Source organism: Homo sapiens, chromosome 16 (assembly GCF_000001405.40).
Source record: "Homo sapiens chromosome 16, GRCh38.p14 Primary Assembly".
In the NCBI taxonomy this organism is placed as follows: domain Eukaryota; kingdom Metazoa; phylum Chordata; class Mammalia; order Primates; family Hominidae; genus Homo; species Homo sapiens.
In genome coordinates, this window is record NC_000016.10 from 84,578,234 (window position 1) to 84,606,076 (window position 27,843).

The 27,843-nt window shown below is 50.0% G+C and overlaps 1 protein-coding gene across 1 annotated transcript in view, besides 14 other annotated features; it reads right to left on the reverse strand.

The window, feature by feature from the left end:
* COTL1 (coactosin like F-actin binding protein 1) overlaps window positions 1-27,843 on the reverse strand; it is a 52,483-nt gene that overhangs the window by 12,638 nt on the left and 12,002 nt on the right. The window contains exon 3 of the mRNA NM_021149.5: window positions 11,872-12,029. Within this exon, the coding sequence (NP_066972.1) occupies window positions 11,872-12,029 (158 nt within the window). The remainder of the gene's footprint in view (window positions 1-11,871; window positions 12,030-27,843) is intronic.
* Window positions 5,465-5,970: an enhancer, noted in NCBI's record as "H3K4me1 hESC enhancer chr16:84617304-84617809 (GRCh37/hg19 assembly coordinates)". NCBI's record gives its function as "activates a minimal SCP1, AML or CMV promoter by ChIP-STARR-seq in naive H9 embryonic stem cells {active_cell/tissue: H9 hESC(naive)}" and the evidence as "EXISTENCE:reporter gene assay evidence [ECO:0000049][PMID:30033119]".
* Window positions 7,955-8,004: an enhancer, noted in NCBI's record as "active region_11243". NCBI's record gives its function as "activates an Ori minimal core promoter by ATAC-STARR-seq in GM12878 lymphoblastoid cells {active_cell/tissue: GM12878}" and the evidence as "EXISTENCE:reporter gene assay evidence [ECO:0000049][PMID:35858748]".
* Window positions 12,094-12,593: an enhancer, noted in NCBI's record as "H3K4me1 hESC enhancer chr16:84623933-84624432 (GRCh37/hg19 assembly coordinates)". NCBI's record gives its function as "activates a minimal SCP1, AML or CMV promoter by ChIP-STARR-seq in naive H9 embryonic stem cells {active_cell/tissue: H9 hESC(naive)}" and the evidence as "EXISTENCE:reporter gene assay evidence [ECO:0000049][PMID:30033119]".
* Window positions 15,659-15,958: an enhancer, noted in NCBI's record as "active region_11244". NCBI's record gives its function as "activates an Ori minimal core promoter by ATAC-STARR-seq in GM12878 lymphoblastoid cells {active_cell/tissue: GM12878}" and the evidence as "EXISTENCE:reporter gene assay evidence [ECO:0000049][PMID:35858748]".
* Window positions 19,302-19,803: an enhancer, noted in NCBI's record as "H3K4me1 hESC enhancer chr16:84631141-84631642 (GRCh37/hg19 assembly coordinates)". NCBI's record gives its function as "activates a minimal SCP1, AML or CMV promoter by ChIP-STARR-seq in naive H9 embryonic stem cells {active_cell/tissue: H9 hESC(naive)}" and the evidence as "EXISTENCE:reporter gene assay evidence [ECO:0000049][PMID:30033119]".
* Window positions 19,804-20,303: an enhancer, noted in NCBI's record as "H3K4me1 hESC enhancer chr16:84631643-84632142 (GRCh37/hg19 assembly coordinates)". NCBI's record gives its function as "activates a minimal SCP1, AML or CMV promoter by ChIP-STARR-seq in naive H9 embryonic stem cells {active_cell/tissue: H9 hESC(naive)}" and the evidence as "EXISTENCE:reporter gene assay evidence [ECO:0000049][PMID:30033119]".
* Window positions 21,046-21,867: an enhancer, noted in NCBI's record as "NANOG-H3K27ac-H3K4me1 hESC enhancer chr16:84632885-84633706 (GRCh37/hg19 assembly coordinates)". NCBI's record gives its function as "activates a minimal SCP1, AML or CMV promoter by ChIP-STARR-seq in naive and primed H9 embryonic stem cells {active_cell/tissue: H9 hESC(naive and primed)}" and the evidence as "EXISTENCE:reporter gene assay evidence [ECO:0000049][PMID:30033119]".
* Window positions 21,541-21,740: a silencer, noted in NCBI's record as "fragment chr16:84633380-84633579 (GRCh37/hg19 assembly coordinates)". NCBI's record gives its function as "represses an EF-1alpha promoter that drives an FKBP-Casp9 reporter gene in an ReSE screen in K562 erythroleukemia cells {active_cell/tissue: K562}" and the evidence as "EXISTENCE:reporter gene assay evidence [ECO:0000049][PMID:32094911]".
* Window positions 21,975-22,124: an enhancer, noted in NCBI's record as "active region_11245". NCBI's record gives its function as "activates an Ori minimal core promoter by ATAC-STARR-seq in GM12878 lymphoblastoid cells {active_cell/tissue: GM12878}" and the evidence as "EXISTENCE:reporter gene assay evidence [ECO:0000049][PMID:35858748]".
* Window positions 24,890-25,184: a silencer, noted in NCBI's record as "tiled region #4329; K562 Repressive DNase matched - State 5:Enh". NCBI's record gives its function as "represses a minimal TATA promoter and a strong SV40 promoter by Sharpr-MPRA in K562 cells {active_cell/tissue: K562}" and the evidence as "EXISTENCE:reporter gene assay evidence [ECO:0000049][PMID:27701403]".
* Window positions 24,890-25,195: a biological region, named in NCBI's record as "Sharpr-MPRA regulatory region 4329".
* Window positions 25,076-25,195: an enhancer, noted in NCBI's record as "active region_11246". NCBI's record gives its function as "activates an Ori minimal core promoter by ATAC-STARR-seq in GM12878 lymphoblastoid cells {active_cell/tissue: GM12878}" and the evidence as "EXISTENCE:reporter gene assay evidence [ECO:0000049][PMID:35858748]".
* Window positions 25,206-25,770: an enhancer, noted in NCBI's record as "H3K4me1 hESC enhancer chr16:84637045-84637609 (GRCh37/hg19 assembly coordinates)". NCBI's record gives its function as "activates a minimal SCP1, AML or CMV promoter by ChIP-STARR-seq in naive H9 embryonic stem cells {active_cell/tissue: H9 hESC(naive)}" and the evidence as "EXISTENCE:reporter gene assay evidence [ECO:0000049][PMID:30033119]".
* Window positions 25,236-25,445: an enhancer, noted in NCBI's record as "active region_11247". NCBI's record gives its function as "activates an Ori minimal core promoter by ATAC-STARR-seq in GM12878 lymphoblastoid cells {active_cell/tissue: GM12878}" and the evidence as "EXISTENCE:reporter gene assay evidence [ECO:0000049][PMID:35858748]".

Here is a 27,843-nt window from a genome sequence, read left to right on the forward strand (position 1 = left end):
TCTTATTCCTCAGCCACATCCATGTTTGGGGATTTTTCCCAAAGAAATAACAGAATTTTTAAAAAATAACAACATACATACTCAAAGATGTTCATTGCCAGTAAATACCAGGCTGTTTCCATTTTTCAGCAAAAGTTGGATAAATAAGTAAATACTATCTACGTAACACTTCATATACGCCAGGCAATTATTATACATGGTATCTTATTGAATTTTCACAATTCCATGAGATATTATCATACACATTTTTCAGATGAGAAAACTGAGGACAAAGGAAGTGAAGTAGCCAGCAGATCACAGGATTCACTCCACGCCAGGGAACTCACCAGGTGGAGGAACAGACACACACAGGCATGCACGCACACAAACACAGATATGCACACACCAACACACACACACGCAGGCATACACACACACACAGGCATGCACCCACACAAGTGTGCACACACACACACAGGAATGTACCCACACAGGTGCACACACACAGGCATGCACACACCCTCTCACACACATACATGCACATGCACATACAGGCATGTGCAGACATACACACACAGACACACAGGGATATGTCCACACAAACGTATACACACACAGGTGCATAGAAACACAGGTATGCACACACACATACACATGCAGGCATGCATACACACAGACGCATGCACACACAGACACATGCATGCATACACACAGATACATGCATGCACACACAGGTGCACACAGGTATGCACACACATGCACATCCAAGCATGCGTACACACATATACACATGCATGCACACACATCCACCCTCATACACAGTAGTGCACACACATACACATATATACACACAGGCACACACACATCCACTCCCACACACAGGCATGCACACACACCACCATACAGAGGTGTGCACACACACAAAATGGGTATCACAGACTTACATATGTTGTACTACATCCACTTACAAAATAATATTTGGCCATTACAATAATAGAAACAGGCCGGGCATGGTGGCTCATGCCTGTAATCCCAGCACTTTGGGAGGCCCAGGCAGGTGGATCACCTGAGGTCAGGAGTTCGCGACCAGTCTGGCCAACATGGCATCTCTATTAAAAATACCAAATTAGCTGGGTGTGTTGGCATACACCTGTAGTCCCAGCTTCTTGGGAGGCTGAGGCAGGAGAATCACTTGAACCACGAGGCAGAGGTTGCTGTGAGCCGAGATCGTGCCACTGCACTCCAAGCCTCGGTGACAAGATCAAAATGCCATCTCAAAAACAAATTATAAAAACAAAAAGCATTTAGGAAATGTCAAGAGAAAGGACACAGGCTATATCTCTGCTCTGCTAAAGGCTGTGGCAAGGGCTCCACGGGAAGGGGCAGACCCCTCTGTGTGAGGTGGGGGGTAGTGGCTGATCACTTAGCTCCTGCATTTTGTCGGAACCCTTTCGGCAAACCACAGCGACTTAGAATAAAACCACCACGGGGCGAAGACTAAGCGTGTGTGCTTGTTTCATAAGGGAATCTCACGAGGCAAGATGTCCGAGAATAAAGAATGACAAGAGGTGGACAAAAGTATGCAGTGGTCCAGGGAAGAGGAAGAGAAGAGGGGGAGGAAAGACACTCATACACAGGGGCAAGATGTAGAGTGCAGTGAGCCTTCGGCCTTTCATGAAGGCTGGGAAACATGCACTTCACACACAAAGAGCTCTCCAGATTCATTTCTTCAGGTTAAGACCTGTACACGTTCGAATGCTGCATCCTCACGGCACAGCGACTGTATACCGTGCTAGCGACTGTGTCGGGAATCACTGCACCACAGCGTCCGGAGGCCAGCTGCTGGCAGGTGCCTGGGGCAGGTACCAGGCTAGGGCAGGCTGGCCAAGGGCTGGCACTGGTCTGGAGTTTGGTGGAGGGCAGCCAGGTCACAGCCCGCTGGGCAGAATTCTTTGCTTATTCAGGTGGCTTTATTTACATGCCAGGCCCAAACCTAGGGTGCAGGGATCTCCTTCTTTCTCCTAGGAGACTGTTTTTCCCTCTAAGACTTGTTTTTGAGACAAGGTCTTGCTCTGTCGCCCACACTGGAGTGCCACTGCATCCTCACAGTGGTGTGATCATAGCTCACTGCATCCTTGACCTCCTGGGCTCAGCCTCCCGAGTAGCTTGGACTACAGGTACATAACACCATGCTCGGCTAATTTTTTCATATATTTTTTGTAGCAGCAGGGTCTCACTATATTGCCCAGGCTGGTCTGGAACTCCTGGGCTCAAGCAATCCTCCCACTTCAGCTCCCCTAAGGGCTCTTAACCTCTTTAGTAAAAGATCAACAAAGCAGATGCATCGCTTTTGAGTTTCAGATCTTCCCAGGGCTCCTCACTGCCCTCCCATTATAAAAGCCCCACATTTAAAGTGGCCTCCAGTCCCCCACCATCTGGCTTCCACCTGAACACTCACCTTGGCTCAAGAACTAGTCCTCCCTAAGCCTCAGTTTCCTCATCTGTATATTGGGGTCAGTACAGCCCCCGGCTCATGGATGAATAAGCCTGGCCCTCCATATACGATACCTGATCCCACCATTCACAGGCTGCATGGGAGCTTTTTATTTTTCAATTGTGCAATTTGTGTTTTAAAAATATATGACATGAGGCCAGGCATGGTGGCTCACGCCTGTAATGCCAGCACTTTGGGAGGCTGAGGCGGGCAGATCACCTGAGGTCAGTCTGAGACCAGCCTGGCCAACATGGTGAAACCCCATCTCTACTAAAAATACAAAAATTAGGCTGGGCATGGTGGCAGGTGCCTGTGGTCCCAGCTACTTGAGAGGCTGAGGCAGGAGAATCGCCTGAACCCAGGAGACGGAGGCTGCAGTGAGCCAAGATGTCGCCACTGCACTCCAGCCTAGGCAACAGAGTGAGATTCCATCTAAAAACAAACAAACAAACAAATAAATATATGTATGTATGTATGTATGTATGACATGAGCAACAAGAAGTGCCCCCGGCCTGAGCCCAGGCCCAGGTGAAATGCATCAGGCCAAAAAGGCCCTTCTGGTTATGCAAATACCGTCCTTCCATGAACCACTGGCTTAAGGAAGTGTAAACACGCCACATAGAAATAAACAGCTGAAACCCTTTGAAGGCAGCGAACAGTCTGTGGATGGTCCGCAGAGTGCTAAGTGGTAACTCATGCTTTGCAAGGGGGAGCAGCAGCCTCGTAAATCTCATCCCATGGAGGGTTGTAGGTTCTCCCGGCTGCCCCAGTCAGCTCTCACTCCTGCTTTCTCTAATTTTTTGTTGTTGTTGTTGAGATGGAGTATCACTCTGTCACCGAGGCTGCAGTGCAGGTGGCACAATCTCGGCTCACTCCAACCTCTTCCTCCTGGGTTCAAGCGATTCTCCTGCCGCAGCCTCCGGAGTAGCTGGGATTACAGGCGTGTGCCACTATGCCCAGCCTAATTTTTGTATTTTTAGTAGAGATGAGAGTTCCCCATGTTGGCCTGGCTGGTCTCGAACTCCTGACCTCAGGTGATCTACCCGCCTTGGCCTCCCAAAGTGCTAGGATTACAGGCATGAGCCACTGCGCTCAGCCTCCTGCTTTCTATTGAAACAGAAGCAGAGATTTGGAAATTTCAACCTAGCCCCAAGTCCCCTGAGTGTAATTAGCTTCCACAATTTAATTTAATGCAGAGAACAGTTACTGAGCATTTATAAGCTTCTGTCCTGGTAATACACAAAGAGCCTACATGAGCAGATACATTTCTTCTTTTTTTTTTTTTTTTTTTTTTTTTGAGATGGAGTCTTGCTCTGTTGCCCAGGCTGGAGTGCAGTGGTGCAATCTCTCGGCTCACTGCAACCTCTGCCTCCTGGGTTCAAGCAATTCTCGTGCCTCAGCCTCCTGAGTAGCTGGTAGCTGGGATTACAGGCACATGCCACCATATCCAGCTAATTTTTGTATTTTTAGTAGAGACGGGGTTTTACTATGTTGGCCAGGTTGGTCGCGAACTCCTGACCTCAAGTGATCCACCCACCTCGGCCTCCCAAAGTGCTGGGATTACAGGCATGAGCCACTGCGCCCAGCCCATTTCTTAATTTTTAAAAATTATGTTAAAACAGAGATGCAGTCTCACAATGTTGCCCAGGCTGGTTTCAGGCTCCTGAGCTCAAGCAATCCACCTGCTCCAGCCTCAAAAAGTACTAGGATTACAGGCATAAGCCATGGCGCCCGGCCTCATTTCTTCATTTCTTAGCCCTTGTTATGTGCTAGCACACAGTAATCTTCCAGCACTAGGAGTACAATCACAAAGCAGCCATGGCTTCTGCCTTTTAGGAGATTATTTCCTTGTTAGTTACTTAATTATAATTCCTTAATTATAATACTATCTAGACCATAGTAGATACAGATATAGGCACAATTAATTCTGATTGAGGCTGGTAGGAGAATGGGGTAAGAAATCCGGGTTTTGAAGGATGAATAGTTCACCAGGCATCAAAATGGAGAAGCCCTTTTCACACCTACTGCTTTTCTTTAATCATTCCAACCACTCTGTGAAATTTTACATTCTCTTTTTCCTAAGTGAAAACACAGAAATTCTAGTGATAAATACCTGCCCAAAGTCCTACACCTGTGAGCTGATGGCGCCAGAATATCAACTTGAGTCTCACTCCCCTACACGCCGTAACTTTCTCCATTTCACACAGCAGCACTTTTTTAAAGTAAGCACAGAGCAAAAAAGTTCACGTTCCAGTTTAAAGCTTCCACCATCAAGGAAGATCGAGAATCAGGAAATTTAAAAACTAATTTCATGTGCAACACGAGTCTACAAAAGGAGCATCCAGCCCTGCTTGCGGCCTTCGAACCTCTTCCCTGGTGCCAGAAGCCTTGGGAAATGTGCAGTGTGGTGAAGTGGCCGTGTCGGGGCTCTGAGCCCACAGCCTGGATTCCAGGCATAGCTTTGCCATGTCCAAGCACCCGGACCTTGAGCAAGTTACTCAGCTTCTTCGGATCCCAAGCTCCTCATCTATAAAACAGGGCAAGTGGCAGACCTGGCCTCGTGAAGGACAAATGATTTAATACACGGAAAGTCCTTCACAGAGTGTCAGGCACATAGTAGGGCCACAATAAAACTATTGTTATTCATATTATTGCCACATTGGTACCCAAAAGAGGCCCTCAGAGGGGAGGGGTGGCTAAATCTGGTCCCAGAAATGAAGCCGATCCTGCCCCTGGGGTTTATTTTTATTTATTTATTTACTTATTTTTGAGACAGGGTTTTCCTCTGTCACCCAGGCTGGAATGCAATGACACGAGCACAGCTCATGCAGCCTCCAACTCCTGGGCTCAAGCGATCCTCCCACCTCAGACTCCTGAGTAGCTGGGACAACAGGCATGCGACACCATGCCCCAGCTAATTTTTTTTTGTTTTTAGTAGAGACGAGGTCCCACTATGTTGACCAGGCTGGTCTCCAACTCCTGGGCTCAAGCAATCCTCCTGCCTTGGTCTCCCAAAATGTTGGGATTACAGGTGTGCGCCACTAAGCCTGGTTAGTCCTGGGGCTCAGAAGCTATCAGAATAGACTCCAATTGGCTAGTTCACACCATCCCTGGCACGTCCATCCTTCCCACCTCCACTTCTCCTTGGAGGCAGCAGCCTCTGTTGTCCTCTGTTCCTGAAAGCTGAGCTGCATGCCTTCTGGATTCCTGGCTCCGTGAACGTTCATATTATGTTAAAGAATCAATAAAAGGATCAGGTGAATGAACCCATCCTGCAAGACAAGCATGATGCAGCACTGACCAAGCATGGCTCTAAATCAAGAGAGCCTGGCCCTGGCACATCGCAGGTCACTACCAGCGGTCACTGCATTGTCCCCACAATCCTGCAGAGACACGAGAACGATAGGAGCGAGGTTCTGTCCTGGGCACCAGCCGGGTACTTCTGTGTGGCAGACAACAGCTGTGGCCAGCCAGCCGTGCGTGCTGTGCGTTCAGCGCATTCCCCGGACTGGAGTCTGGGCATCGCAATCGCCCTGCCCAGCTTGCCTGGCAGCCCCTGCTGCCCCGTGGCCTTGCTGGCATTTGTCTTGTTTTGTCTTGTTTTCCCCCAGCCACAGACGCCTCTCAGTTTCTCAGGCTCTGAATACAGATTAAAGAGGATCAGAGTTGAACTTCACTCCTAATTCTTCCAGGCTCTAGCCCCAGCTCTATCACTCATTAACTGTGAGTTTAGGGCAGGTCCTAGCACTGCTGTGGGCCTCAGTTTCCCCATATGCTGATGCACCTGTGTGCCGGCCACAGGTGAAGTATGAGCTTTTTGAGGTCAGCGCTGGCAAGTGTGGGTGAGGCCAGACCCTTCCTGTGTGGCTGACGGCTGGCAATATCCGTGAACAACAAGATTCACGCCCTGTGTCCTGGAGCTGAGCATCTGTATCTAGCATCTCCTAAGGAAATAATCTACAGTGTAGAAACATTTCTTGCGTGAACTGTGCATCACGGTGTTGTCTAAACAGAAAACTGGAAATAACAGCTACTACTTCCGGGTCCCAGAAATTAAGACATTGTTCTAAGCACTTTCCCTATATTTGCTCATTTAATCCCCACCACAACCCTACAAGGCAGGCACTATATTGCCCTTACTTTATACATCAGGTGACTGAGCCCAGAGAGGGTAAGCCATGTGCCCAAGGCCACACAGTAAGTGATGGAGCTGAAATTTGAACCCACGCCATCTGGCTCCAAAGTCCACCGTACTACACCTTCCCCCTTGGCAAAGTAAAATAAGGTTCATTTAAAGGTAAAATGCCTTCATAAACAAATTACTCCATTAAAACAAAAGAAAAGAAAAATTTCCAGAATACGCCAAAATAGAATATGACACAGCAAGTCAACTCATCCCATTCTTCATTTTACAAATGAGGACACTGAGGCCCAGGGAGGGAGAGACTTGCCCATGGTCAGGCAGGTGGTTAGTGACATACAGATCCCTCCACTAAAATTAGCTGGGTGTGGTGACACACACCTGTAATCCCCAGCTTCTCGAGAGGCTGAAGCACCAGAATTGCTTAAGCATGGGAGGCAGAGGCTGCAGTGAGCTGAGATTGTGCCACTGTACTCCAGACTGGGTGACAGAGTGAGATTGTCTCCAAAAAAAAAAAAAAAAATCGCCCCCCTGGATTCAAGTTCCTCCACATCAATGACCGTGCAATTAATTTACACCCTCCACGTTTCACACAAAGCACAAGAATGCATGTGCATTACTTTATTACTGTCAAAAAGTCAAGGGTTTATTAATACAGTAATCTTAAACTAAAAGCCAATCTACTTCTTCTTCATATGGAAATGATGGCAAAAAGTGCAGCTGGGGAAGTGACCTGGTCCCCAAGACATGGCACCCGGAATGGGCCCATCTGGAAGGTCCCTTAGAGAACATCCGCTCTGAATCCCCGTGAAGCAGAGGGGAAGTTGATAGGCATGCCAGTCTCTGCATGGTTTTAGCGGCCGTGGAAAGACAGCATTATACCAGCAGAATGGACCCTTTGTCACCTAAATGGCTATATTTGCAACTGCAGTATAAATGTAAGGTCTTGTAGCAGCTTCAGATAATTAACATTCGTAAGTGGAGAGGTGGAAAATGCAAATGATAATGGTCAAAATATGAGCCTGCACCTGTAGTTCAGGCCAGTATTCCAGCTCCCCCACTGCAATGCACATCTGCGCTTCTTCATTCACCAGCATCCCTTTCTCTAACAACTGGGATCACGCTGGAGCTGCCAATCATGAAACCCCGCCTCCCTGCCCAAAGGCGTGTGCACGTGACCCAAGCTGGGCCAATCAGGGTCCTCTTAAGAGATTGACGGACACTGAGGAAAGAGGCCTCTCTCTTCTGGGATCCTGACCCAGAGGGACCACCATAGCATGGACCGTTTCTTTGGCTGTGCAGAGGCTGCCTGACGCCAACCCCAGAGAAAAACAGAACTGAGAGATGAGATGAAAATACTGCATGAGCCCTCGATCTAGCCACACCTAAAGCCGAAACCCCTGCACTTCCCACTACCAAGAGCCAAGCAATTCCTCTTTGTGCTTCAACTTACTTGAGCTTGCAAACGTAAGAATTATCACCACTACTCCCACCTAAAGGTTCCCAGCAGGGAATTAATTTCCTCCAATCCCCCTCAGTCACCGGCGCACCTACCCAAACTGAAAAGAGTTCTAGAGAGGAAAGAAACTCTGCAGACTGCCTTAGTGGGTATGAGGTTTCCTTTGGGGGTGATGAGAAAGTTCTGGAACTAGACAGCAGTGATGGCTACACAACATTGGAACTCTGTTTAATGTAGCTGAATTGTACTTTAAAATGGCTACAATGGTAAACTTTATGTTATTGTATTTTACAATTTTTTATTATTTATTTAATTTATTTTAGACAGAGTCTTGCTGCAATCTCGGCTCAGTCTCCTGAGTTGATCTCCTGGGTTCAAGCAATTCTCCTGCCTCAGCCTCCCGAGTAGCTGGGACTACAGGCCACGTGCCACCATGCCTGGCTACTTTTTTGGTATTTTTAGTAGAGACGGGGTTTGTGTTGGCATGTTCGCCAGGCTGGTCTCGAACTCCTGACCTCAGGTGACCGGCTGCCTTGGTCTCCCAAGGTGCTAGGATTACAGGCATGAGCCACCACGCCTGGCCTGTATTTTACCACAGTTTTTTAAATAGGAAGACAAAAGAGAATTGCAAGATCTGCAATGTGGTGCCCCGTGTACACATCCTGGCGAGCCCCCTCCCTCTGCTCCCTTTCCTCCCGGCGACGTCCAGGAGTGGGCCAAGCACGGCGGGCGGAATTCAGCAGGAGACCTTTGGCCACAGAACAGGACTTCTTTTTCATTTTCCATCCTGCTGCCACTCGGAAGACCCCTGGAAGCTGGTTAACCATTAAAACCCAACTGGCCTGGAGAAAAACAGCCTGTAGGGTTGAATAAGTGGTTTTCCAAAACAAGGGCTCCCAGGCCAGACAGGGTGCAGACAGCAGTGTCAACCAGGAACGCTGACTACATGTGAAACAAATGGCCTTTGTCAGCATTTCCTCGGTCCCAGGCACAGTGCTAGCACTGCTCAAAGCCAATCTGATGCCCATACCTTTTAAAAATGATTATCTCGCCTCTTAACTCCGGAACCCCACCTCCCGAGATTGTTTTCTAAAAGAATAACTCAACAGAAGACAGAAAGGAGCTGCATGTATTAAAATGTTGGTTGGAACATTCTTTATAAAAATAAAAATTGGAAGCAACTTAAGAGGCCAAGAACAGGGGAACATTTAGTACATGACGGTACACTTGTGAACCAGGACACTCTGCTACCAGAAAACCATGAATTACAAAGGTGGTGCATCCATATCATTTATGAAATTACATTAACCTTAAAAAAAGCAGCTGCAGATGAGAGTGTGACCTATAGGCTGGGACCACAGCAAAGCCGAAAGGCAGGAGGCGAGCCCGTCCAGAGAGTGGCCAGGAGGGACGTCCAAAAGCGGGAACTGACAGGGGGACCACAGGACTCTATTATGTCCTATCATTATTTATTTATTTATTTATTTATTTTATTTATTTTTTTGGAGACTCGCTCCAAAAAAGGCTAGATCTTGGCTCACTGCAACTTCCGCCTCCTGGTTTCAAGAGATTCTCCTGTCTCAGCCTCCTGAGTAGGTGGGATTACAGGTGCCCACCACCACACCCGGCTAATTTCTGTATTTTTAGCAGAGACAGAGTTTTGCCATGTTGGCCAGGCTGGTCTCAAACTCCTGACCTTACGTGATCCGCCTGCCTTGGCCTCCCAAAGTGCTAGGATTACAGGAGGGAGCCATGACACCTGGCCATATTGTTATTTTTTAAATAAAAGTTTTATTAGGGGCTGGGCGTGGTGGCCTATAATCCAAGCACTTTCGGAGGCTGAGGTGTAGGAATGCTTGAGTCCAGGAATTCGAGGCCAGCCTGGGCAATATAGTGAGATCCTGTCTCTCTTAAAAATAATAATAATAATAATAATAATTTATTTTAGAAGAGCTTTGGAGTTACAGAAAAGTTGCAAGAGGTAGCACCGAGTTTCCATATTACCTTCCTCTTAACACACACATACATATTTCACTACTGTTAACATCTTACATTACTGTGGTACATTTGTCACAGTGAAAACGTCAACATTGGTACATTACAATTAATTAAACTCCCGACTTTATTTATATTTCAACAGCTTTTCTGTTCTAAGGTCCAATTCAAGATAGCACATTGCAGATAGCCTATTTTTTTGTTTGTTTTTCTTTTTGCAACAGGGTCTCACTCAGTCTGACTACACTCACTCAGTCTGAGTGCAGTGGCGAGATCTTGGCTCACTGCAGCCTCGCCCTCCTAGGCTCAAGCCATCCTCCCACCTCAGCCTCCCAAGTAGCTGGGACTACCGGTATGCACCACCACACAGGGCTAATTTTTTATTCTTTTGTACAGATGGAGTATTATTAATACTATGTTGCCCAGGCTGGTCTTGAACTCTTGGACACAAGCAATCCTCCCACCTTAGCCTCCCAAAGTGCTGAGATGACAGGTGTGAGTCACTGTGCTCAGCCCGTTTTTGTTTTTGACAATTTGGTGATTTCTGGTATATTCACAGATATGTGCAACCACCATGATAGTCAATTTTAAAGCATTTTCATGACCTCAAAAAGAAACCCTGTGTCTTTAGCTATCACCCACTTCCATCATTAGACTATTATTTTTTATTTGTTTTTTATTTATTTTGAGACAGGAATTCGCTCTGTTGCCCAGGCTGGAGTGCAGTGGTGCGATCATGGCTCACTGCACCCTTGACCTCCTGGTTTCCAGCGAACCTCCCGCCTCAGCCTCCCAAGTAGCTGGGACTACAGCCATGTGCCACCATGCCTGGCTCATTTTATTTTGTTATGTTTTGTAGAGATGGGGTCTCACTATGTTGCCCAGGTTGGTCTCAGACTCCTTAGCCAAGCAATCCTCCCACCTCAGCCTTCCAAAGTGCTGTGATTTACAGGCGTGAGCCACCGCACCCAGCTGAGTCTATTGTTTTTAAACGTTTGTTTTATCATGGACCAATTACATTGCTTTGAATCTTTAAAATAATGTGCATGGTGGAGGATGGGCAGTGGTACCCCCCGCCCTCTGTAACAGACAAGCTGCTGAAGGGACGTGTAACACACTGTTTCTGGTCACCTGAACAACAGTTTAAAGGCGCAGTAAGAGGGAGAGATTCCCTACTTCATGGGTTGTGAGAAATCCTTTTGCGAAATGGAGATCCCTTTAGTAGGGAAAGACCTCTCTCCCTCATCTACCCTACCCCGGGGTTACCTTTTGGAGTTCAGATTTTCTTTTCTCAACATGACCGTGTTACCCGTACCCCAAGTGAACAACCTTGGAAGTTTCTGACATTGCAAATGTCCATTTTCTTTAATGGCCAGAATGGAAAAGACTTAAAGTAGGCACTGTTCAGAGAGGGTACAAATGAATTCTCCCACGGGATCCTTGCGACCACCGCCGACAGTCAGCCAGGACACCACAGGGTAGTGGCCGCTATTCTGGTCCCCCCACCAGTTCCCGTCTCTAGAAGCAAGCAACCTGCCCCACCCACGGAGGCAGGCACCCAGCTGCCAAGCTTCTGTTATGGGATAGGTGGGATCGTAAACACAGTTAACTCCTCCTAGCCAGCATCCTGAAACAATTCTGGTGACATTTCACCAATGGCTTTACTGGTGCAGAGACATAGCATGGCTTGTCCCAAGTCACAGCTAAGCTACAGACCCAGGAGTCGAACCCAGCCCTCTCCCTCCTTGCAGGATGGTGACCCTTGGCGAGCTTTGACCTCCAGACTCTGGAGGAACTCAGTACCTGTACGACCTCCTTCACCAGGGTCTTGTCCGTCCCGGTTTTGGCGCGCTGCAGCCCGCTGACGTTCTCACCGATCCACGTGATGAGGGCAAACTTGGACCTCTTGCTCATGGCATCCCCGGTGGTGAAGCGCACGAAGGCAAACAACCGGACGTCATCTGTGGCCAAAAGCGAAAAGAGAACATGGTGCTGCGTTAAAACACCCCCATGTCATGTCCCTGGGGAGAGGCTGTGAGCCACGAGTGCGCCTGGAGCAGCACAGCAGGAGACCGGTGCAGTTCCCTGGGAGCACCATGTGCAGAGGACAGGAGGGAAGCACTCATCCGCTGCCCTTGTCACACTCCCCTGAATCCTGGCAACAGTGCTGCAGGCTTCATGCCCATTTCACAGATGGGAAATGGAGATTCAGAGAAGTCACATGGCACTTTCAAGGTTGTGAGGGAATTCAAGGTCATGCTGGGATTTAAACCCAGGCCTTTCTGGCTGCAACGCCTACAGCCTTCCTACAATCAAGGCTCAAAGTCTGGGTGGGCCCATTGCACAGATGTGGGTGCCGCCAGCAGTGCCAGGGCCCAGCCAAAAAAAATTTAAAAATAAAAATTTAAAAAGGCTCAAATTATGGATCTTATTTAGGGACCAGAAATTCATCCTCTTTGTAGACCAGAAATTCATCAACTCTTTTTGCCTCAATCTTTGCAGTTTGGAATGAGACTCTACACTGTAGAGAGACAGGAGGGGCAAGGGGGGTGCTGGGTATGAAGAGGAAACAAAGAAAATGGCTCTTAATTTGGCCCGGGATATGGCTCCGAGGATATTTCACTTATGACTAGGGCAATTAGGTCAACAATGAATTCTGAACACATTTCCATTGGCTGTGTTATGCTTGTTCTATCTTATATAGTCATTTTTATTAAAATGGCTTTGAGGGCTATTTTGTTCCATTGATCCACATTAAGTTTTATTTCAATGCCACACTGTTTTTATTATCATGACTTTAAAATTTGTTTCACAATCCACTATGCTAAGTTCCCCCACCCTCCACTGCTCTGTATTATCAAAATATCATTTGATATTCTGGAATTTTTTTTTTTTTTTTTGAGACAGAGTCTCGCTCTGTCGCCCAGGCTGAAGTGCAGTGGCGCGATCTCGACTCACTGCAAGCTTGGCCTCTAGGGTTCACACCATTCTCCTGCCTCAGCCTCCCGAGTAGCTGGGACTACAGGCGCCCACCACCACACCTGGCTAATTTTTTGTATTTTTAGTAGAGATGGGGTTTCACTGTGTTAGCCAGGATGAATCTTGATCTCCTGACCTTGTATTCCACCCGCCTCAGCCTCCCAAAGTGCTGGGATTACAGGCGTGAGCCACCGCGCCCAGCCTGATTTTTTGAATTTTTAAAGTGATGTGTGTATTGGCCAGGTATGGTGGCTCACCCCTGTAATCCCAGCACTTTGGGAGGCAAAGGTGGGAGGATCACTTCAGCCCAAGAGCTTGAGACCAACCTGGGCAACATGGAGAAATCACCTCTCTAAAAAAAAAAAAAAAAAAAAAAAAAAAAAAACCAAAAAATTAGCTGGGCACGGTGGCAGGCACCTGTAGTCCCAGCTACCAGGGAGGCTAAGGTGGGAGGATCACTTGAGCCCAGGAGGTTGAGACTGCAGTTGAGTAGAGATTACGCCACTGTACTCCAGCCTGGGTGGCCAACTGAGACCCTGTCTCAAATAAAATAAAATAAAATAAAATAAAATAAAATAAAATAAAATAAAATAAAATAAAAATATGTGCGTGCATGTGTATGTGTGCATTGCATGTGTGTGCGTGTGCATGCGGGTGCATGTGTACCCCACTAGGATAAACCAAAATTGTTCAACATCAGCTCAACTGGCATCTGGGGCCAGATCATTCTCTCTGGTAGGAACCATCCCGTAAATTGCAGGGTGCTGAGCAGCACCCCTCACCTGGCCCCACCAGTTATGACAAACAAAAATGCCTCCATACATTGCAGATGTCCTCCAAAGGGGGCAGAACACCCCCAGTTGAGAACCTCTGCTGTAAACCGTTGGTGTCCCCATTTAATTGGGACCCCTTTTGTGTTTTCCAACAAAGTTCTGTGCCTCTTGAGGGGATCACATATCCTTATTCAGCTTACTTCACAAACAGTTCATATTTTAACTGCCATTATCACCAAGATCTCATTACAATTCCTAAGTGGTGGTTGCTGGCACATAGGGATGCCACTGGTTTGGAGTCATTCACCTTGTATTAGCCACTTGCATAAACTGATGCTCTCTCAGGGCGTTTAGTTGCTGGTGTGAGGGTTTCTCAGGCACCTAATGATATCGTAGAGCGATATGTTTGCTTCTCAAACATTGTGTGGATTTGAATCACTGGGGAAATCTTAAACGCAGCTTCTGATTAAACAGCTCTGGGGTCTACGCTTCTAAGAAGCTTCCCAGTGATGCTGATGCTACTGGTCAAAGGATCACACTGAGTTAAAAAAAAAAAAAAAAATCAATCTGCGTTTCTTCCTAGAATCTAAGTACGTCCCTGCAGAGTCCCGCACGAAGCATGTAGGTTAGCACCAAGACCCAAGGACACAAACCACCTGTCTACAGGAGATACTGGCCTGCAGCTGACAAGCTCACTTCCTGGTGATTATCTCAAAACCGGAGGGGGTAACCAGCACGTTCGCCTTCAACAAGAAGCCGGGTGGTCTAACGGGTCATCCATTTGTCCCCGGGAGCTAAGGAACACGCAGCTCTCAGCAGACCATGAATGCGTGATCCTAGCTGCAGTCCAGGGTCAGGGACTCCACAACACTTACTTCTTAAAGGAAACTGATCGTCATCACCACTCACATTGGCACACCACTTTTCAGTTTACAAAACATGCTTCTATTTCATCTCATTTGGTCTTTGTAACAACGCTGGGAGGCAGATGAGGTAGAGACGTCATGGCCACTTTCATCATCAACATCCAAATCACCTTCATTGATAAGGGCTGGAGGCTCAGAGGCCACGTGATGTGGCCAGACTCTCAACACGAGGCCAGAGCCAAGGGCCTGGACACCTTGGGTGTGTGTGCTCAGCCCCCTTTCTCCAGGGAAATGCCCCACCAGGCCATGGCTATCTGGGGGTCAGTAGGTAACAACGCAGCAGGGATAGAAGGAAGGATGGTCTCAGGGACACTGCGCAGGTGAATCCACAGGGCCTGGTGACCAACTGGATGTGAGAAGGTGAGGACAGAGGAGTCCAGGGCACAGGAGACCCCGAGGGGTGAGGGCCCCACCTCCCATGCCCCGGGGACTGTGCCTGAATTCCCAAACATCAGCCTGGGCTGCCTCACCTGTAAAACACGTTCTTTTCTTTATTGAGATAAAAGTCACATAACAAAATTCACCATTTTAACCACTTTTTTTTTTTTTGAGAAGGGAGTCTCGCTCCGTCGCCCAGGCTGGAGTGCAGTGGCGCGATCTCGGCTCACTGCAAGCTCCGCCTCCCGGGTTCACACCATTCTCCTGCCTCAGCCCCCCGAGTAGCTGGGACTACAGGCGCCCGCCACCACGCCCGGCTAATTTTTTGTATTTTTAGTAGAGACGGGGTTTCACCGTGGTCTTGATCTCCTGACCTCGTGATCCGCCCACCTCGGCCTCCCAAAGTGCTGGGATTACAAGCGTGAGCCACCGCGCCCGGCCATTTTAACCACTTTAAAGCATCCAATTCAGTGGCTTTAAGGACACTCACAATGTTGTGCCATCATCGCTACTATCTAATTTCACCACTCCAACGAGAACTCCCGTCCTCAAGAACAGTCACTCCCCATTCTCCACCCCATTCCCCCAGGCCCTGGCAGCCACTCTTCCACTTTCTGTCTCTATGGATTGGCCTGTGCTGGACATTTCATTGAAATGGACTCATATGCTATGTGGCCTCTGCGGTCTGGCTTTCACTCAGCGTCACATCTCCAAGGATCATCCCTGCTGCCGCATGTGCGGGTCACCACTTCATTCCTTTTATGGCTGAACAGCACTCCATTGCATGGAGAGAGCACATTTTGCTTATCAGTGCATCAGTTGATAGACATTTGGGATCCTTCCAAAATGGGGTGATTTCACGCCTCCCTTATCAGTTGACCATGATGACTGAAAGTGAAAGCTACAAAACCCACCTAGCCCATCAGGGTGGAACCTCCAACCTAAAGCTCCTGACACAGGGCGGGGCTGCCAGGTGGCCACAGCGCACAGGAAACGAGACTGGTGCAAGAGATGGCAGTTCCTCACTTGTAAGGTGCAAAGTGCGCAGCCACAGGCGGCTGGTGCAGACTTGGAGTGTGGGGGAGCAGCGCTTTAGCTCGAGAGCATTTCTCAGCAGTCCCCGTGGTGTCTGGGAAGCCAGGGCTCTGTTTTGAGGAGTGTCGTCAGAGCATCAACACCAAAGTGCTTAATTAAATGGCAGCCTTGACCTGAGGGGGAGGAGGGGCTGAACATCCGCCTCCGACTGCATTTCACAAGCAAAAGAACACGGTGAGTGTGTTTCCATGGTAACCGCTCTCGGGTTCCCATTTCCACATTGGTCAGCCCGGACTTGGATCCAAACTACCCATCCCTGGCCCAAGCCTCCATGGAGGTAAGTTACCAGCCCTGCTTTGGGCCAACGCAGTTTTTGGGGACCTCAACCATGTGTTCAGCCCATGGCCAAGGCTTCGGGCTGAGCCAGCTCTCCCAGCCTCTCTCTCTTCTCAGTGTCGCCCCCTCCCACGGCTCTGGCTGGCTCCTCTGCGGAGCTCCATGGCTTTTCCAGCGTCTGCCCTCTCTGCTGGCTGCCAAGTGCCTCCACATGCCGGCCATGCTCTGCGCACCTCCAACCCTCCACATCCACCCTTCCCCTCTTTCAGACCTCCCCAGGTCTACCTTGGGCAACACCCTTTGCCCCCGGAGGGTCACAGATTCTTGTTGAAGAACCACAGGCATTGTCCCTGTGTCCCAAGTACCAGCCCAGGGCCTGGCACAAGATAGATGTACAATAAGTAAGTTACACCCACAACCCCAAGGACACTGGGAACCTTCCAGAACCACAGCCTGATGTCATTTAAATGATCGTGGGGGAGCGGGGTAAAGAGGGACGTGGTTTGCTAGGTGACTGCTGCGTGCTTATCCGACAATGGTTTGGTCAACAAGATTGCTGACAGGCCTGTTTTTGAAAATCCGAGTCACGTTATGCTTACAAATGTTTGCTGCTAGAGATCTGGCACGACAGTGACGGGTCAGCTGAGTCGGAGACGGAAAACCTGTTGGTCTGCGCACCGTTTTTGCAGCTGCCCGGCAGACTGGAGGCCTCTCCCCAACCCTGCTCACCCTGAAGGAGGTTCTCGGTCCCTTTTGACCTCACACTGGGCAGTGGAAGGGGAATCGCTAGTTCTTCATCCCTGGTTTAGTTACTTTCCCTCTTCTGAACAAATTGGGTCCACAAACCCCAGTGGCAGTCACAGCCCCACATCAGCAGTGGGGAGCCCTAGGCTCCCTCGTCTATGTCGGGCTATTGTCACTCCTGTACGCGGGAACACTGGCATATCTACTAAAGGGCACAGAGAAACGCTGTCCTGTATATATTAGTGTGATATGTGTGTGCGTATATATTTGTGTATGTGTATATATACATATATTTGTGTGTATAATATGTGTCTATATGTGTACAGGTGTGTTTGTATATGTGTGTATATACATACATTTGTGAGTACAGGTGTATATATGTGTGTATATATATTCATGTATTTGTGTATGTGTGTTATATATACATGTATGTGTATGTGTGTGTTATATATATACATGTATGTGTATGTGTATGTGTGTTATATATACATGTATGTGTATATGTGTGTGTGTATGCACTAAGACGGCAAAACTGCCCAGAAGAAGGTTGGTACCTGGGCTTTCCATCACCCTCACTGTGCCACTTGGTCCCCAACAGGGCCAATGGTCCATCTCTTCAAACTGAAGCTGAGAGTCCAGGTCTACGCAGAGGAGACAGGGAGACTGGGCAACCCCAGTGGGGGACGGGGGACCCAGGACTTCACCCAAACACAGGTACCAGAGACAGATGCCATGAGCTCCTTCTGCTGGAGCCCTCAGCACAGGGGAGTGGTCTATACCCTTAACCTTCTCTGCAATGTCCAGGGTGCAAGTTCAAATTCCAGAATCCTTTAGAAACTTACCCCCACATGTACTAGCCTTGTGACCCAGCCCAGAGTCCTGAATGTCTCTAAGCCTCAGTTTCCTCATCCACAAAATGGGTCAAATACTTACCTCATAAAGTGGTTGGGAGGATTACATGAAAAAGAAATGAGATCTGAAGGGTTGGCTGATGGGAATCATTGCTGATTTTTGACCCCCAACACCTCTCCAGTGAAACTGCCCTCAGGGGTCCACAGGGGCCTCCTAATTGCCAAAGCCAACAGCATCTTCTCCATGCCCACTGGTGGCGTTTCACGCCATTATCAATTCTGCCCTCCTTGAACCTCTCCCTTCCCACGGCACCCAGGGCATGGTGCCATCTTGGTTCTCAGAGCACTGATCCCGCCTTCTACTTTCTCCCCGGCTCTTCCACCCCCTCTGTCTCCACACACACACTCCCCAGGGTTCCACCTCATCCTCTCCTTTCCCCTGACACTCTCTCCCTGGGAGATCTCAGCTACCACCACAGAACACTGACGCACCAGCCCCTGCCCTCACAACTCTCCACTGCTCTGTCCTTAACAAGGTGGACAGAGTCTGCCCTCTGTTTCTCGCCATTTCCTGGCACCTCGCACCCCTTACACACAACTGTTCGCTAAGGCAATCTGGAGCACTTAGAAGAGCACAAACTCCAGAGATCAGCCAGCCAGGGCCGCATCCCAGCCAGGGCCGCATCCTAGCAGGGGCCGCATCCCAGCCGGCTTCCTTCTAGCTATGGAACATCAGATGAGGGTGCTTCATGCTCTGAGCCTCAGCTGTTCCAGCTGTAGAATGGGGACCACTTTCTGCATCCAGCTCTGGGTTTCAGAGTGAGGCACTCCGAGGCACACAGTCACGGAGTCACTCCTTCTGTGAGTCTTTCTTGAGGAGAGATGGAAGACAGTGAAGGTCTGAGAGGTAACTGAGCCCCAAGTCTACTAAGCACTTATGAGGGGCCAGTCCCCACTCTAAGAATCTGCACACTGCAGATTCTTCTCCTCTGTGAGGGCAGCACAGATCGCAGTCCCATTTCACAGATGAAGAAACTGAGGCTTGGAGAGGTGAAGTGAGAATGAGCCACACAATTCTCCCTGCCCGCTGCAGAGCTGCTGAAGTCCACAGCAGCAGTTCTCAAAGTGTGGTCCTCGGACCAGCAGCACCACAGCACCCGGGAACTTATTAGAAATGTGGGTACTCAGGCTCCACTCAGCCCTACTGATCCAGACGCTGGGAGTGGAGCTCTGAAACTGTGCTCGAATGAGCCCCAGGGTGATTCTGAGGCTGCCAAACCTTGAGACCCACTGACTTAGAGGAAGAGGTGGAGAAGAGGAAATGGTGAGAACTCACTGTTGGGAGAGGGGACGAGACAAAGGTCTCAAGGACAGAAAAGCTGAAGTGCTCAGAGTTCAGCCCCCACGCCCTCCTTGCTGCCTGTCTGCCTTTTATTTTAAGCAAATGACTGCATGAAGCAGCTTCCTGCAGAGTCCGTGGTTCCTGAGCACGCCCATCAAAGACCACCAGGACAGTCCCTCCAGTGCTCCCTCCCCAAAATCCCACACCCCAAGAGAGGGAACAGCCATCATTAGCAAGAGAGCTACTGACTATCAGCCCTGGGTACCAGGAGGCCTTTCTGCCTGTGCTGCCTCTAGCTCCTCTGCTTGCCCATAAGCCACGAGGATTCAGATGCATATCATAGCATCACACTGAGCCCCATCTCAGGGCTGCCGTCACTGAGGATACAGCAAGGTCAGGAGCCCCATCCTGAGGACGGTGGTTTCCTTCTGGTCGGTGTCATGCACTCAGAGCCCAGGCCAATTGCACGCTGGATGTCCCTGATTTGAAGACTATGGATGCCCTCCCCTTCCCACCCAGAGAGAGTCTTGTTCATGAAAAGACACAGCTGTTATGTTTAACGTTAATAAAACTTCACTCTCAAAAGAGCCGGACCCTTCCTTCCACTGGTCTATGAAGCCTCATCAGAAGCCAATGATGGAGCTTTGGCTCCTGCAAAGGACCCGTGGGGACCTAGAAGCCCCAGGCAGGGCCCTGAAGGTAGGTAAAGGGAGCCTCAGTCCAATGCCCAGGTCATCTCTTCAAGGTTCTCTGCCTTCATTTACTAAGTAAGTTCATCTGTGTCAACAAATCAGCATCCTAACGTTCTCAGGATACCGCCTGGCGCAGAGCTGTGAACTCAGCAGCCGGCCCTGGTGGCTGTTACATGCTCTTTTCTCTGGCCTTTCCCTCTCCTGGCTCTCCTCTGACCTTTCCCCTGGGTCCTGGAGGTGCCTTTACGCCTCTCCCACCTCCTCCCCATCTGTGCCTCCTCCTCCCCTTCTCCCCCCCAACCCCCCCCACCAACCCCGACCTCTCTGGAAGAGAGAGGGATGGGGCAGGGAAAGGCCAGAGGGGGTAAAGGAGAGACAGTGGGGGTGGGAAGGACCACACAAGGAGACCAAGCAGGAGACCAAGCGGGAGAACCAAGTGGGGGCGGCGGGGACCAAGCGGCAGGGGTGGGGGGGAGCAAGCAGGGGGGGTCCAAGCGGGGTCGGGGGTGATCAGGCTGGAGCTGCTGGGCAGTCAAAGGGATGGGGATGTGGGAGAAAACCCAGTGACAACAGAAACAGAGGATGACCACAAAGGGGCTAGGGAGGGGGGTAAAGGCAAGAATTACCTGTAATCACCAAAGCCACCAGGATGAGCCGCTCTAATAACTCCCCAAAAGTTACAAACGGCATATGGTCCCCACTAAGCTCTGAAGGCTTGCCCCTCCCCCCCTTCCCCCTCCCACCCAAACTTGAAATCTCAGGCTCAGGTCAGCACTGAGGAAGAGATTCTGACCAGGCACCCAGTGTTCTCACCAGGGCGGCCCCCACCCAGGATCCACATTGACTGGGGGCCTCTGCCTTTTCCCCAAAGAGATTCTAGTCTCCTCTGCGTATCGCCAAAGCCAGTCCTGGCTGGAGGACCAAACCCCCGAGGAAGGAGGATCTGCTATGGGTCGAGCACTGTGTAACTTTCTTAACACTTTTGCAAATGTTTTGAACAACCTTTTTTCATTACAAAAACACATACTAGGTGTAGAATAATGAGAAACACAAAAAAGCAAAATGAAGAAATTAAGGATCCCCCACCACCCTAGAAACTTTTTAGCGTAAGTCCTTTGGATCTTTTCAGCTACTTTCACATCTGTCTGGGTCTTGTTATGGCCCCAGCACTGATCACCATGCCAGGCATGTCATAGGCACCTTATACGTTATCTGTGGGCCAATGGAAAGAAAAAAGAATCATTTCAGAATTTCCACCCAACACTGAACTTTAGAGCAAGGCCAAAGAAAGGGGGAAGGGGAGGACAGGAGGAAGTTGCCCCAGAGAGCGGCAAGATTGCAGCTCACTCTAAAGCTGCCCTAACTTTACAGAGACTCCGGAGAGGTTATGCAAACACGGCTCAGGAAGGGAAAAAACAACCCACACACCAAAAAGCTGAGCTGTCAGCTTCCACCGAGGGAGCTCCCTGGAGCGAGGATGAAAGGAAATGGGAAAGAATTCTTACATCCTGCTGCCCAGAGCAAGGGGACAGCTGGGCAGTCGCCATGGCAGCGGCTGGCTTCTAGCAGGCTGCTAAGGGGAGAGAGGGCAAGGCTGGGGAAGGAGAAATGTCTTCTTGCCACCAAAGAGGAAGGAGGGCTCAGTGGCCGCCCACGTCTGTAAGAGGGAGGGGGCCTGAGGCTGGGGCTGGAAGGGGCCAGGTTCGTTGCTGAAGTTGAAGGGAGAGCTCTCATTACTAAGAGGCCTGATATCACTATACCACTTGCTGTCTTTTTTCAGAGTGACTTTCGTAACTCCCTGCAGTTGACAAAAACAAAACCAAACCAAAAACACCCTCCTGTCCTGCTCAAAAAACTTTGCAAAAGTATTAAAAAGTGTAAAAACTGAAACCCATTACTCTGTTTATTTCTAAACTCCTTTTGGTTTATTCCTTATAGGGCATGAATAAAGGCTCTTTTTTTTTTTTTTTTTTGAGACGAAATCTCGCTCTGTTGTCCAGCCTGCAGTGCCGTGGCACGATCTCAGCTTACTGCAACCTCCGCCTCCTGGGTTCAAGCGATTCTCCTGCCTCAGCCTCCTGAATAGCAGGGATTACAGGCACCTGCCACCATGCTCGGCTAATTTTTGTAGTTTTAGTACAGACGGGCTTTCACCGTGTTGGCCAGGCTGATCTCGAACCCCTGACCTCAGGTGAACTGCCCGCCTCAGTCTCCCAAAGAGCCAGGATTACAGGCGCGAGCCACTGCGCCCGGCCAAGGCTCTGTTTCTTTATGTGATCCGCATTGTGTGGGTATCTGCGTGTAGGCACATTGTTTCTGCATTGGAGCTCACACTGTAAATGCGGTTTGATATCCCACGCAGGAGACTCCTCAAATGATCCCCGATTCATTGCATTTTCACTAGGTGTGAATGACCCAGCTTTCCTAGCTTGACAGAGAACATAAGAAAATGAAGTACAGGATGGCCAGAGGAAAAGAAAGATGATTACTTCGGCAGAACCTCCAGGGTATAAGCTGATCTGGATACCCAAATTAAACCGAGAGCTAAAGGTTTTCCCCCTATGACAAAGCACTAGCACTTTCTTTCATGATAATTCTCTACTTCCTTAAATGGGAGTTAGTGTGTTAGACCTGACTCCACCCTCTGACTTAGAGAAGAGTGGCTGTAAAGCAGTCCCTGGAGGCTCTGAGGACCTTATTACAGTATCTATAGCATCTATAAGGAGACGCTGCGCCACTGAGGGGTTCAGCGTCTGGCTCCCAATCACTGAACAGCCCTGGCACACACTGCTTTATACTCTTGTGTCTGCTTTTCACTGTTGTGCTGCCTCTTCCATCGCTGTGGGTTGGTTATTTGACAAACACTTACTGACAATCTGTGATACAGGGATTTTGCTGAAAATGCAATCCCTACCTTCAAAAAATATACAGTCTACCATAGCAAACAAAAATGTAGTGTGTGAATACCATGAAATTACTGCTATGGCAAAGAGTTGTGACTGGCAGTTACAGGAGCATCAAGGAAAGAAGGAAATCCGCTCTGCCTGGGCAGCTGTGACCAGGACTGGCTTTGCAGAGGAGGTGATGTTTGATTAGGGTCTTTTTCTTTTATCCCCCCGAGACGGAGTCTTGCTCTGTCACCCAGGCTGGAGTGCAGGGGCACAATCTCGGCTCATGCAACCTCCGCCTCCCGGGTTCAAGCAGTTCTCCTGCCTCAGCCTCCCGAGTAGCTGGGATTACTGGCACGCTCCACCACACCCAGCTAATTTTTGTATTTTAATATAGACCAGGTTTCACCATGTTGGCCAGGCTGGTCTCGAACTCTTGACCTCGTGATCCCCCCATCCTGGCCTCCCAAAGTGCTGGGACTACAGGCATAAGCCACCGCACCCATCCTGATCAGGGTCTTGAAGGATGACTCAGAGTTCCTCCAGAGAACAGGGTAAGGACAAAGAGGGTTCTTGTTGACAATTTGAGAGGGAGATTGTGACAGAACTCCAGACAAAGCAACAGCCTCTGCTGGCAAGTTCAAAACGCCTTCCTCCACCAGCCCTTCTCTCTTTTTCCGACTCACCACAAGCCAGAAGGGCATATGATGCAGCTGATGATAACTGTGTGCAAACTAAGAGCTTAAAGGCTCAGAATGAGCTACAGGCCTCCTTCAGCTTGCTCAGCCCTACTCCAGGAGGGAAGGAATCTCGTTCCCTAGCACATCCAAAGCACCCAGACGATGCCCCACATGTACTCAATACATACTTCCCGAATAAATGAAGGGCATCTACATGGCATCTTTGACTTCTCAGAGGCTTTTCAGTTCCAAATTTGCAGCTGCGTTTCAGTTCAATGGGGGTGGGGGGGGTGCCATTTTATAAGAGTAAAACCAAGCAGATGGGCACAGCAGCTCACACCTGTAATCCCAACACTTTGGGAGGCCGAGGCAGGAGGATTGCTTGAGCCCAGGAGGTTGAGGCTGCAGTGAACTATGATCGCACCACTGCACTCCAGCCTGGGCCACAGTGAGACTCTGTCTCAAAAAACTTTTTTTCTTTTAATTAAAAAAAAAAAAGAATAAAACCAATTCTTTGTCAGGATTTTTAAAGTGTGACTTCCACCCCCAGAGAGCAGGAATGAATAGACAGGCAGGAACGAATGGATATGGACAGACATAACAACTGATTTGTTTTGACAAATTTGTGGTTTAATAAAAGCACATGTGGCCAGACGCAGTGGCTCATGCCTGTAATCCCAGCACTTTGGGAGGCCAAGGCGAGCAGATCACTTGAGCTCAGGAATTCGAGACCAGCCTGGCCAACCCGGCAAAACCCTGTCTCTACTAAAAATACAAAAATTAGCCATTCATGGTGGTGCACACCTGTAATCCCAGCTACTCGGGAGGCTGACGTAGGAGAATTGCTTGAGTCCAGGAGGCAGAGGTTGCAGTAAGCTGAGATCATGCCACTGCACTCCAGCCTGGGCGACAGAGACTTCATCTCAAAAAAAAAAAAAAGTGCATGGAAAGGGAAGGCCAAAAAGGCAGTGTTGCTGGAGTCAGCGATGCCAGAGTCAGTGATGCCTGCGTAACAAGGAAGCTGCTTCTCCACCTTTCACATGCACCAAGAACGGTAGCCCAGAGGGACGCAGCTGGCTTGAAACCTCAGCGGCATGAGAGCCTGGAGACCAGGGTTCAGGTCCTGGCTCTGCCCCTTTCCTCCCATGTAACAATGGCCCAGCGACTTCCCCTCTCTGCCCCCCAGTTCCCCGGAGGCCTCTCCATCTCTGCCTGGGAGCCCCTGGTTGGTGGGGGCAGACTCGCAGCCAGTTTTCCTTCCCCGTGGACTTTAACAACACTCCAGCCCGCAAGCCTGCGCACACCAGCCCCCACGGGGACAGCTGACTCACTTTACTCTTCTACGGATTCACTTATTCATTACCCCATGCAACATCCGAGGCAGAACCTCCCCTCTTCCCAAAGGACTGAGGCAACGAAGTGTGACTCAGCCAGGGCTCTGCGCCAGGCTCTGAGTGAACACACTGGAAACCCGGCCGTGGGTACAACACGGCGTCACAGCTCTGCCGTAAACACAGGGGGACCCACTGAGAGCCCAGGGGACCAGCAAGCCTCCCCCTGGAGGTCTCCTCATCGGTGACACAGCACGTTGATCCTCATCAGCCAGCTGAGGGGGTGATGCCCTGGGAATCGGGCCTGGCACACAGGAAGTGTTGGGAAGCGCTAGGTGAGGATGATAAGGACAAGGCGGCCTTGGGACCAACGGTGACAATGGCAACAGACTATGAAGCGAATGGAGGCAGTGGGGGAGCCGGGAGTTCAGAGGGGAGAGGCAGGGCTGTGCTCAGGGAAAAGGGCTGCTCAGGGCCTGTGGGGTTGGCGCATCATGCCTGGGGACCCAGAAGAAGTGGCAGAATAAGACCCTGCCCAGCTGGGAATGAGCCACAGAAAGGGCCAAGGCAAAGTTCTAGGAGGACATGAAACAAAAGTGATCAGAATAAAATGCGCACTGCTCCAGGAAAACCCAGAGGCCTCACATGGCTCCCGGGGCCACTGCACCCTGGGCCCTGCCAGCTACCCACCTCCCCCCACTTTCTACCCGCCACTCCCCACCCACCTCCCTCCCTGATGGCCCCCACCCCATGCTCCCCACTCCCTACTACCCCCGCAACTCCCCTCTCCCTCCCGCTGCCCCACCACGGCCCAACCCCATACTCCCCAACCGCCTTCTCACCCATGCTCCCCTCCCACTCCCCACCCATGCTCCCTGCTCCACAGCCCTCACCCCATGGCCCCCACCTACACTACCCCCTACTCCCCAACCCCTGCGCTCCCCATCCACACTCACCGGCCATAGCCCTCATGCCACGGTCCCCACCCCCTGCTCCCCACCCCACACTCACCCTCCACAGCCCTCACCCCCTGCTCTCCACCCTCACTCCCCACCCACGCTCCCCTCCCACGGCCCCCACCCCATGGCCCTACTAGGTTCCTGTCCTCCTGCCCACCCAGGAGCCTCATCCTCCTTTTTTCTTTATGCTTTTTCATCCTAAGATATTATTTACACAGCATGAACTGCACCCTGTGAAAGTGGACATTTCAGTGGGTTTCGGTCCATTCACAAGGTTGTGCATGGTGATGCACCCCACTGAGCTCTCCCAGCACGAGTGCCCAGCAGACCGTGAGTGCTCAGTTTATATGTGTTGGGGGGATGAGTGACCAAAGTCACCCAGGAAGAGAGTGTGGTGTTCCCAAGAATGGGCCACACAGCAGCCAGGTTTGGCCAAATCCAGAGAGCTGCAGGGTGGACACAGCCCTCTCTCTGTCCCTCTGTTAGGCAGGGGCCCAGAGGGGGCTGTGGCTGTAGGGGTCACACAGGGGCCGCCAGGAGCCTGGCTCTTTGCATCTCAAGCCAGGTTCTTTTCACCCCTCCCCCAGCTCCAGCTGACCCCTGGCCCGCCTGAAGCAGCAGCAGCTTTTATTTGCAAGCCATGAACAATACACTCCATTTTATAAGCAGCGTAGAATTCTAGCCAGAAACGGGGAGAAAAGTGCTTCCGGGTCAGAGCAGACCTCCAAAGGCGAGCCCTGCAGGCAAAAGTAGGGAAATCGGGATTTCCTGGGAAAGTCTCTCCAGGGCAGGAGGGAACACTCGGGTTCAGGAATTAAGGAGCATTGCTCCCCAGACACACGCACAGGCTTTCTGTGTCAACAACAATGGCAGAAATGGCCTCTAAACAACAGTGGCCTCTAAACACTTCCCACGGCCCCCCATGGCCTGGGCCTGGGCCTTAGGTCTGCCCCACGGTGTTCCACAGAAGAGCCTCCCGTGGTCTTCCCTTCTTGTTTCACAAAGATTTTACATTGCAAGCTGGGGTGCAGGGGGTGTCAGGAGTGGGGGCGAGAAGCACACACGCCAGGTAAGAATTGCAGCCTGGCCTGCGTACTGCCTCGGCTGTGAAATGGGATAACAACAGGGCCCGCGATGCTGGGTCACTGGGCATATTAAATGAAATCACAAGTGACTGCGGCAGGCAAAACAACGGCCCCTAAGACATCTATGTCCTAAACCCCAAAACTGTGAATATGTCCCTCACATGGCAAAAGGGCTTTGAGGGTGTGGTTAAGGTAAGGATCCTGAGATGGGAGATTCTCCTGGGTTATCTGGGTGACACCCACGTGATCACTGCAGTCCTTAAATGGGGAAGGGTGGGGAAGAGGGCCAGAACCAGAGAGCTGGCATCATGAGGACTCGACCTGCCAGTACTGGCTTTGAAGACAGAGGAAGTGGCCACAAGCCAAAGAATGCAGGCAGTCTCTGGAAGCACAAGAAGGCAAGAAAATGGATTCTCCCCTGGAGCCTCCAGGAGAAAGCAGCCCTGTCCACACCTGGATTTTAGTCCTGTGAGGCTCATGTCAGACTTTTGACTTGCAGAACTATAAGATGATGCATTTATGTTGTTTTAATTCACCAAGTTTGTGGTCATTTGTTACAGTGGCCATAGGAAAGTAACACAATGACCCTGGCTAATGCCTGGCCTAATAAAGGTCCACTGTTAACCATTGTTGTTATCAACTTATTTATTTATTGCTCGCAAGGAAGCTTACCTAAGTACCTAGAAGACAAAGTAAGAATAAGTGCATGAAGAAAAGCGTGATGACCATAAACTAAGTACAGAACTAAAAACAAGATCTATGGCAGGTTAATTTCA